This window comes from Homo sapiens, chromosome 8, assembly GCF_000001405.40.
Source record: "Homo sapiens chromosome 8, GRCh38.p14 Primary Assembly".
NCBI classification, from domain to species: Eukaryota; Metazoa; Chordata; class Mammalia; order Primates; family Hominidae; genus Homo; species Homo sapiens.
In genome coordinates this window covers 133,173,281-133,184,355 of record NC_000008.11, presented here as the reverse complement: position 1 = coordinate 133,184,355, position 11,075 = coordinate 133,173,281, and the positions used below count along the sequence as shown (strand labels likewise).

The following is an 11,075-nucleotide window of genomic DNA, read 5'->3' as shown; positions in this document are numbered from 1 at the left end:
ACGTGGGAGGCTCAGGCAGGAGAATTGCTTGAGCCCCAGAGGTTGAGGCTGCAGTGAGCTATGATCATGCCACTGCACTCTAGCCCAGGTGACACAGTGACACCCTGTCTCTAACAAAGAATACTATTTATTAAAGTATAACTTACATTAAAATGCACACATCTTAAGTGTACAGCTTGATAAATTTTATACATGATTTATGAGAACTTCTATGTGTATCACTCACCCAGTTCAAGATAGGGAGTTTCCCTCATGCCTCCCTCCCCGCAAATTGCAATGACGACTTCTATCACCCTAGATTCACGCTGTCTGTTCGTGAACTTCACACAGACAGAAGCGTACAGTACATGCTCTTTTACATTTAGCTTCTATGGCTCAACATGGTGCCCGTGAGATTCGCTGGTGTGGCTGCTCCAGCCACAGTATTTTGTGTTTTCAGGGCTGCAGTGGGAGAGTCCACTCCTGCTGTCCAGTTCTGGTCTGCAGTGGGGCCTCAGACTCTAGCCTTGGGACTTTGTCCTTTCCTCTGCTGTGGGGGACTCAGCCAGGGCTCTGTGTCCAGATTTCAATTTCACCCCTGTTGCCCCAGGACCTGGACTCCAGCCACATAGATCCCCAGCTGGATGTGAGGCTCCTGCTGTGGGCCACCATGGCCACATCGTGCCCTTTCATCTTTGTGCGCCCTGTGGTCTGGCCCCATGACTTGCATGCAGTGGGTGCTCAATAGATGTTCAATGTAAGAATAAGTCCTGCTCACCCTCTTTTATAAAAAGAGGATGGTGTCATCTACCTCATGGGGCTCTTGAGAGTTTTAAATCACAGAAAGTGTGCACCTCTCTGTTTCTCAGATCCCTGTGGCAAGAGCACTGCTGGCTGCTTCTAGAATACGTGCTGGGGGCTCCACCAAGCCCTCCTTGGGTTTTGATTCTTTAATGCAGAGCCACAGATGAGGCAGGTGTTAACATCCTCCCCATTTTACAGAGGCAGAAACAGTGTTTCTGGGTTCACCTTTGGGCTCACAGAGGTAAGTCATTGTTCAAAGTCACGTGCCAGGCAGGGGCCGGGATCGGATACCTGACTGTGGTGTTGCCATTGCGCAGGTGTGGGCCTCTCTGAGTGAGAAGCACTCAAGGTTCCAGAGCCTTCCAAGTGTTCCTAGGAGGAGGAGAGTGTGGGTTGGAGTGTTTGGCAGACTTGGTGGAAGATCTGGGTGCACGTGGGGCTTGGAGGCTGCACTGGTTTGGGTTGGCAGCGAGCAGGAAGCAGGCATTCTGGGCTGGGAAGCAGTGAGCAGCTGCCATGCGACTCTGCCACGGGAAAGGGAGTGATATTGTGCTTGTCCTGGGTGTTGAGCGTTTCCAAAGCACCCGTGGAGAAAACGGCAGAGAAGCGGTTTCAAAGCCAGACTGTGCCAGGAACCTAGAGTGACCCCAGCCCCTGAACCATGCCTAGGGAGCCACCTGGGGGCCTGGGCCGGGGGTTGGGGTGGGTAGCGATGAGAGTGTCTTCATTCTTGAGCTCCTAGGGCTTAGCAGCTGGCCCACATCAAATGCAGCACATTGTGGAACGGACGTTCTCAAAGCCCTGGTGCATGGAATTCACCTGGAAGCTTTTAAAACATAAAAATTCCCAGGACTGTGACCCAGAGGTTCTGAGTCAGTGTGTCTGGTAAGGGTTTGCAAATTTGCTTTTAAACAAACACCTCCGGGTGAGTCAGAGGAAGAGCATCCTTGGAGCCTGCTTTAAGAAATACGGCAGAGTGGAAAAGTGTGTGCTGTGGATCCAGGCAGGGGCGGGATCTGACTCCACTTCCTGCCAGTGTTTCATCACAGAGGAGCTATTTACCTTCTCTGAGCCTCAGATTTCCCATCTGTAAAATGGGCTGATAATATGTTCCATTGCAGGTTGTGGGGATGGAATGAGGCAACTGGATGAGTTTCCTGGTGCTACCATAATGATTTCCATAAACTCAGTGGCTTAAAACAACAGAAGCTTGCTTTCTCACAGATCTGGAGGGTAGAAATCAGAAATTGGGTGTTGTCTGGGCAGCACGTTCTCTGAGAGCTCTAGAGGAGACGCTTGCCTTGCCTCTTCCAGCTCCTTGTAGTTCCAGGGGTTCTTGGCTTGTGGTTGCATCACTCTAATCCCTGCCTTGGTCCCGCCTTTTCTCTGTCCTCAATGTGTGTCTCTTATAAGGACGCTTGCCATTGGATTTACAGTCCACCCAGATAATCCAGGATGATCTCACACCAAGATTTTTAACTTAATCCCATCTGCAAAGAATTCTTTCCCAAATAAAGTCATGTGCCCAGGCTCTGGAGGTTAGGATGTAGACATATCTTTCTGGGGCCACCATTCATCCTATTATGGCAACATGCATGAAAACTCTGAGGACAATGTCAGGGGCATAATAGATGCTCAGTACATATCAGTCTCCTCCATCTGCCCTTTCTTGTTTATCTGTTATTAAATCCTGTCATCCCCACCTTAAAATGCACAATTTGATCATTTATCACCTACACTACCACCATATAGGCATTGTGACCTACACCCAGCAGGGATGGTGTCACCCCAGGAGAGTGGCCACCCTGAGAAGAGCTGAGTGGCTTCTCTCATGGCTGAGGAACCTGCTGAGGCTAGAGGCATAGGTTCAGGGCAGTGGCCATGGTGGAACTCAGAGCTTCACCAGATATAGGGATGGAGCCTGGCTGGCCCTCGGGGAAATCAGGATTATAAGAGTCAGCCCAAGTGCCCAACAGTTCCTGAGGGGCAAACAGTGGCAAATGGTTCCTGAAATTGGGCAAATCAGTGGCCCCTCTGGGCCTCAGAACCCCATCCATGTGCTGAAGAGGCCACCGCTCTCTGCACCTTCCCAGCCACATAGCTCTCTATTTGAATGACTTATGTCTACTGTATAGGCAGGAATGGTTCAGAGAAAAGGGAGATTAGGGAGGACTCCAGCAGAAAGTGGGGTTTTCTAGATGTGAGAAAACAATTTCCTTACTCTTGTACCCCAGACCATCTTGGACTGCCTCCTGCCTCCTCTCCCACCACACCCACTTCTCCTTCCTCTCAGCTCAGATAAGCCTGGCCAACCCAGAGTTCCCGCAGGACCGGTCTCTGCCTATGACCTGACTCTTCCTACAATGCCCTTCACCACATGCCTTGCTGCCAACTCTTGCTCATCCTTCAAGATTCTGCTCAGACTTTTGTCCTCCGGGAAGCTTCTGTATCACTCAGGATTCTACGAGACAGGAAGAGTCACCATAAAGGGACACTGGATTCCATTTATTCCACATGGCCATTTATTTATGAAACTTATTCCATATGGGAATTTTAGGCATTCAGGCTTACACAAATGGGAAACAGGGGCAGTGAAGATCTAGGAGGAGAGAATAGGGGTGGAGTCAGAGAACAGCCATTAATCAGTCTACTGAATTTTTATTTTATTTTTGCTGCCCATTTCGGTACCCACACCCTCCTGATCTCTTGCAGATTTCAGCCTGGGACTTCATCATCTTCAGCGAATTCAGGGAGCCCATTTAATGGGAACACATCCCACTATAACCATCAGCTTGCAGAGGATGACCCCAGCAGAGGCCTTCATGGTTGCTGGTGCTCTCTCCACCATTGTATCCCATAGGCTTGGGAAAAGGAGTGTCCTCTGGACCTTCCTGGGGGGTATAACTCAGCTGTGGGTGAGCAGATGGTATGAAAACTCATGCTAGCAATCTGACCTCCCTAAGTCCGTTATGGAACACGAAAGAAGTTCTGTATCTCAATCTTACTCCAAAGTGGCCACTTTGGGGTTCAGGTTTCAGTGAAACTACCAAACAAACTGTTAGAACTATTCCCAGTTGCTTGAGTTGATTGATGCATTAAATCCGGGATCTCTAGCTAGTGAGCCCATGTCAATGGATATGGCCTGTGCCAACATCGTGTTCCTTTTACCCTGATCCAACATTCTTAGGATTTATTTAAATTCATGTGCTCCGAGTGTCTGTTGATGCAAATTAGCAAAATTTTGTAGGTGGTATATTGTATCCCCTGGTGCTGCTGAAGATTGCATCTGGTGATGTCTAGATGAAATCAGAGGCTATGGGGTGCATTTTTAGTAGGATTAGCTCCCTTGCAAGGCAGCTATCTCAGGATGTTTCATAATATGTTCTATGGACATGGAGAACTCAACCTCTCAGATAGGGAAGAAGGGTGGTTTCAACTGGAAAGAAAGCTTACAGAATTTGGGAGTTCCAGGTCCTCAAATTCATTTGGAATCTGCTCATATGTTCCCAACTCAATATTGAGGGTTCCACTCTCCCAATTCCTCCTTCCTTGCAAATTTGTGAATTCAACTTGCATTATAATTCAGCCATCTCAGGACGTGGTGTTGTGTTTGGCTTTTATAAATGTCAATCCTTTGGCTACAAAAGACAAGGATTTCTTTCAGGACCACAGTAGAAGCTTTGTGGTTCAGTATTCAGATTTTGAGCTGGGAACTTAAAGTCTGAAGATCAGTTTCTTTCCTTAAGTTCTCCAGTGTACTGGAGAGCAACCAACCGACCCTAAAGTACTTAGATTCTTTGTTACTACTAAAATATTGTAGGAGAGCAGGTGCCAGGACCTTTAAAGTTTTGCATGTTATCAGTTCTTGACCCAGGTAGAAGTTAAAATAGTCATGTTGATCTTCTAGAGTTATCACTTCATCCTTACTTCTGTCCTTCTAATCTCATTCAAGTTTTACTTTTGGATACATCTATTTGGAATTATACAGAGAAGGGGGTTCTAGTTGTTAACATTCTCAACCTCAGCCAAATTGGCACATGCAATCCAACTCACCTTTGGAGACCCCAGAGACAGAGTTAAACGCTCTGTCTCAATCCTTTCACTTAACTGTTATTGTATTAGTTCATGGCATTTTTCCATGTCCACTATGTATTGTTCACCCACCTAAGTTCTCCTGCTGTCTTACCTTCCCACAATGAATTGTATTTGTTTCCTTGTTCTTCATCCCTTTTTACCTATAGAAGTAAAGGCTGTAATCCTTGTTCTTGTCATAAATACTAATATTAACTCCTATTTACTTAGAACTTACCACGAGCCAACCCTGTTCTATGTTCCTTTTATGTGATAAGCCATGTAATTTTAGAAAAACCTGATAATGTAGATTCTATTGCTATTATCCTTGTTTGGCAAGAAAGAGATGTGAAGCACAGAGGGGTTAAGTAACTTGCCCAAGGTCATCCAGCTAATAGACAACAAGCTAGGATTAGAAGCCTGGGAGGCCATGCTGGGTTCACTCTACAGTGTCTGTAGTCTCCATCATTGTGCTGTGACTGAATAGCACGGGGATGGGGAGATGGATGGAGGAGAGAAGGGAGGGTAAGGAAGGAAGAAAAAAGAGATTGGGAAGAAGCTTGAAATTTGATTAATGAGGGCCAGAATATCCTAGATGGGTATATGGTGGAGGGCTAAGAAAGGGCCCAGCATTGAGTGCCTATTGTCCTGTCTGTAGGGACAAGTCCAAGTAGACAGTTTTTCCCTATTCCACATTTAGGTGGAAAAATGTGTACTTCAGTATCCACTCCTTCCTGAAGGTCTCCAGTCTGCAGGCCTGCCCTATGGATTTTGGACCTGCAAGCCCTCATAGTAACAGAAGTCAATTATATATAAATCTGTCCATATCTCTACCTCTATCTCTAAATGTATATGTATATCTATATATCTCCTACTGGTTCATGTCCTTGCTCTAGGGAGAAAAACATTCTAGGCACATGATATTCTATTATAGATCCAGTTCTCCCAAGCTCTGGATGGGAAATGTGGTATCTGCCATGGGTGGTCTTGTTTGTCAAGTGCTGGATGCTTGGGACCAAGGGCTGGGATTCATTGCTTTCTTAAAACCACACCCTCTCACTCCCCCTGCTTCCTGGAGATGACCCACTAAAAATGGGAAGCCTGCATGGCCACACCCCTCCTCCCAATGTATGTTGGGCAGCTCTTCTGCAGAACAATCTAGCATTGCTTAATAAAATGAAGCAATCATGTGCCCTATGGCCTTCTGTGTGTACGCCCCTGAGACATTTTCCCAAGGACCATAAAAGGACATGCAGGAAGATACTTATCCAGGTATTGCTTGCAGTGACAAGGAGCAGGAGGCAGCCTAGGCATCTGATTTGAAGGAAAGGAAAGTAAAAGCAGCCATTCAAAACAAGAGATGGATGTGCATAGAACAACAGGGAAACAGTTGATACCCAGAGCTGAATGAAAGAAGTAAAACGGGGAGGAGACCTCCAGTCAGCACCAGTGATGTGAATTAGAATCAGATGCACCTCATCCTGCAATGTACATGTACATGTTCAGAGACACACATGTTAGAGATGCTTCCTATGGCTGTGAAGGAGAGGATTGGAGAGGGACTGGGGTGGAAGGGCAACACAGGAGCCAAAAGGCGAACAAGTGCTGCATGGATGATAACGAGCTGTAGACTGGAAAATTCAGTTAGCCTCACTCCTCTGCATCCAGGACAGTGCAACAAATTTCAGAGAGGTTGGAAAAGGAGAAGGAGCAGGAGAGGAGGGGAAAGAGATGTAGAAGAGAAATAAGAGGAAAAGGAGGAGGATAAAAGAGGAGAAAGAAGAGGAGAGGGAGGATGAAGAAGGAGAGGAGAAAGAAAATGAAAAGAAGAGGAGAGGGAGGAGGAGATGGGGGAAAGAAGACAAGGGAGAAAGAGGAGGAAGGAAGGAAAACTTACGTCTGCCCAGAAACCTTTACAGGATCATTCATAGCAGCTTTAATTGTAATAACCCAAAACTGGAAGAAACCATGATGCCTTTCAATGGGTAATTGTTTAAAGAAACTTTAGCATAGCCATGCCATGGAATACTATTCAGCAATGGAGAAGAACAAATTAAAAATTGGTCACAGAAAAGAAAGGGAGAGGAACTGAAATTTGGGGGAAATCTCCCATGTTCCAGGCACTTTTAAGTTTATGATTCATTCTATTTTCAAAATAATCTTACAATATCAGGTATTATGATGCCCATTTTACAGCTGTGAAAACAGGAGATCAGGGAAATAAACTGAGGCTCAGAGAGATTCCATGCTGTGTTAGTTTGCTAGGGCTGCTGAAATGAAGTAGCACAGACTTTGTTGGCTTGAACAACAGAAATTTATTTTCTCACAGTTCTGGAAGCTTGAAGTCTAAAATCAAGGTGTTGGCAGGATTGGTTTCTCCTGAGGCCTCTCTCCTTGCCTTGGAGATGGCTGTCTCCGCTCTGTGTCTTCACATGGTCTCCCTTTTGCACGTGTCTGTGTTCTAATCTCTTCTTATAATGACACCAATTATATTGGGTTAGGGCCCACCCACATGACCTTGCTTTATGCAATTGCATCTGGAAAGACCCTACCTGCAAATACACATTCTGATGAACTGGGGGTTAGGACTTCAACATAAAAACTTTGAGATGGACACAATTCAGCCCATAACAGATGGCTGAAAAGCAACAGAGCTAGAATTTGAAACCAGACATTTGGGTTAGCTCAGCCCTTTATCCACCCACAAACAAATGTTGATTGGCACCATCAGGATTTTTTTCTGGGCATGGTGCTAGTATGCACAGTGTGCAGGGCACCTGCTAGACAATCAGAGCTATAAATCGTGATTCAGAATCTGTAGTCACTTGGCCCCTTCGGGGAGATTGTAAAGCTGGTGTGCTGTACACACAAAGTGGAGATCTGACCCCTGGACCCCCGCCATCCTCACACACCTGTTGGATTTGAACGTGCTTGAGCCTCTGGACTGGCACTCTGGCTCTCTGCATGCGCTCTCGCCAAATTCCCTTAAGTCAACCACAAGTGCAAATTCTCCAAGGACTGGCAAGTGGATGTGGGGCAAGGCAGGGTGGAGGTTAGACCAGGCTTGACTCAACCCAGAAGAGTGTGGCCTGAGGTCTGGGGAAGCCTGGTCGCCACTGGGTTTCTGTTTCCTCCACGGAGCATGGGGAACATGTTCTGGGTTGACAAATGACAGGTCTGTGGCAGGATTGTGACAAGGCACTCTCTTCCCTGAGCAATGATGCTCAGATTGCCTCAATATTAGGGGTCAGCCGCTGGAATCAGACATAAACTCTGAATTTGGCCAAGGGCTCTTGAGTTTCGAACACTAAGAAGGCCTAAGAGTCAGACAGCATCTGTGGCTTGGAGTCTTTTCCTGCCAAGACCATCTGGGATTTTTGGACATGGCTGTGATATCTCCCCAGTTCATCTGTGCAGCAATGTTCTCTGGGGTTAGGGTCATTGAGTGCTGGATGCCTTCAGAATTCTTCCCAGCTCTGTGTTTAGCTTCCATGTCACAGATAAGATGCTGATGTCACTGCGATGAAGCGATCTGATGGCCTCTTGTCCCTCAGCACCAGCCCAGACACTTGCCTCTCTAGTGTCTACTCTTTCACTACTGTTAGCATAAGGTGAGTCAATTTAACTCAACAAGTGTCAGCAGACCCAACAGTCCATGCTGGTACAGAAGGGATGCAAACATGAACAAAGCGACAAACTCAGGTCCCAGCCACTGCAGGGCCATGGGGGATCACAGCAGGTCCACACACAACTTCTCCATAGGGCAGACTGGGGTGGACCAAGGAGAGAAAACCTAGAAAGGTCATAGAAGGGCCATAAAAGGCATATAAAGGATGAATAGGAGTCCGGTATCTGGGTAAGGGGATATGAGGGGACTCAAATTTTAGGTGGAGGAAAAAATGTGCACATTCACAATACAATGTAGCATTTACCAAGCTGTTTGTATGTACCAGGTGTTATTTAAAGCACCTCACACGTAGTCATTCACTAATCTTCACCATGAAACAAAACACAGCTTTCCTTCTTTCAGCTCCATTTGGTATGTGAGAGAACAGAGATGCAGAGAAATCAAATCACCTGCCCCAAGTTCCATGGCTGGAAAATGGCTCAGAGTCCACTCCTCAACTCTATTCTGGTCTAGCTTTCTATAATGCTGATGGTGAATCTCCCATTTGTCATACACAGTTCACTGAACACCTCCTATGTGCCAGACACTGGAAGGAGCTGGGATTACAGTGCTCAAATAATTACAGTCTTGGCCCCCAAGGACATTAATACATAAGCAAATAGTCAAGTTCAATCCTATGCCATAGGTTTGCAGTTGAGGCAAGCCCAAGAATTATGAGAATACAGGGAAGACCCTTCACTCAGCCAGGGGTAGCCATGGGGTATGAAGCCAGAGGTGGGTGAGAGTTTGCAGATGAAGGAAGCTGAGACTTGAAGCATAGAATTAAGTTAGGTGGAGAAAGCAATTGTGGCTTTCCAGGCAGAAGGAAGAGTAGGTGGTCCAGGGCGAGAAAAATTGCCACTTGATTGTGGGGCCAAAGGAGTTCAGCCTGGCTGGGCAGGACACTCTGGGAAGAGGGAAGATAAGAGAGCCACAAAGGGATCAGATCCCAAAACCCCTATGAAAAATTGTGGCATCCCTCTGGGGGTTATGGGAGTCACTGAAAGGTGTCAACAGGAGGCTAATGTCAGATCTTCTAGAATATTCCCTAGGGCTACCTTAGGGAAGGGGCATGGTGCGGAGAGGGTTGGCATCTGGGAGTCCAGGTAGGAGGCTGTTCCTGGGTGGGGTTTGGAAGTGGGGTGCAGCAAGGGTGGCTGGGGCTCAGGGCACATGAGAGAATTAGTGAAATAGAGGCTCCACTTTGAAAGGAGACAGTGTCAGGACAGAGGTGGACTTCATCCTCTGGGTGGTGGATCTCCAAGGGCTTCTGTGCAGGGATAAAATGAGCGATGGATGAATGAAGTCATCAATGCAGGATTGGATGAATGGATGTGTGGACTAGTCGTGTTGGAAAGAAAGAACAGAAGTGGGGAGACAGCCTACTGGCCTCCGTACTTCCATATTTCCCAGGATAACAGCCTGGAGAGGTGACAGCTGATGAAAGCTCACCTCTAACAGCTGCTGAGTTGATTGACTTAATAATCTGAACATTCTGCCCATGTGGGCTCAACGCTGCATCTGTGAGAAAAGTAGGTGTGAGTGGAGAGTGAGAGGAAAGATGAATAGCTCAGTTAACTGTCCAACAGTGTGCTTGGTGCTGGATACAGTTGGGGAACAAGTCAGCAATGGCCCATGTCCTCATGGAATGCACAGTGCCTGGAGGAATGATGGGAGCAGAGATTCCGTATTGAAACCCAAGGCAGAGTTGGGGATAGATGACTTCTCTTTATTGGGTTTCTATCATAATTCCAAACGACATGATCCTGAAGGTTGAAATCCCAAAGGATCAAAATCCCTAAAGATCAAAATCTCTAACGTTTAAATCCCTAATGTCTAAAACTCCTAATATCTAAAAGACCAAAAATCACAATCACAGGATAACTGCATGGTGTTACGTGGAACTATTGCCTTGTTATTGTCTTTGTTTGGCTTTGTTATTGTCTTTGTTTGGAAATTAAGTGTAGTATAAGGAGATGTGTATGGATGACAAGTTGACAAGCAGTGGACTTAATTTTAGGTGCCAACCTGACTGGATTAAGGAATACCTAGAAACCTGGTAAAGTCTTATTTGGGGGTGTGTCTGTGAGGATATTTCCAGAGATTGATTGCGAGCCTGAGTGGACTAGGTGAGAAAGATCTGCCCTCAGTGTTAGTGGGAGCCTGGAGGGAAGAAATATAGAGGGTAATTGATCTCTTTCAGAGCTGGAATGAATTTTTCTTCTGCTGTCTTGAACATCAGAACTCCAGGCTCACTGGCCTTTGGACTCCATGACTTACATCAGAGGCCCCACTGGTCCTAAGGATTTTAGACTCAGAATGCAAGTCACACCGTCGACCTCCCCCGTTCTGAACATATAAACCTTGAAGCTTCCTCAATAAATGAAGAGATTTTCTTTTTGAACATGCAAATTTATGAAAGATAAAATTTCTCCAGATCTCAGCTCTGGGCAAACACCTATACAGCAGTGACCCACTGTGGTTTTTGATTTATCTCATCAAAAGACTCAGGTTGTTCATTCTGATATTTCAGTTGACCACAGTTGTAAAGCTG

General features: G+C 46.3%; 1 annotated feature.

Moving 5' to 3' along the window:
- Window positions 965–2,164: an enhancer, noted in NCBI's record as "P300/CBP strongly-dependent group 1 enhancer chr8:134194436-134195635 (GRCh37/hg19 assembly coordinates)". NCBI's record gives its function as "activates an origin of replication core promoter dependent on BRD2, BRD4, P300/CBP, MED14 and CDK7 cofactors, with strong dependence on P300/CBP, by STARR-seq in HCT116 cells {active_cell/tissue: HCT116}" and the evidence as "EXISTENCE:reporter gene assay evidence [ECO:0000049][PMID:35650434]".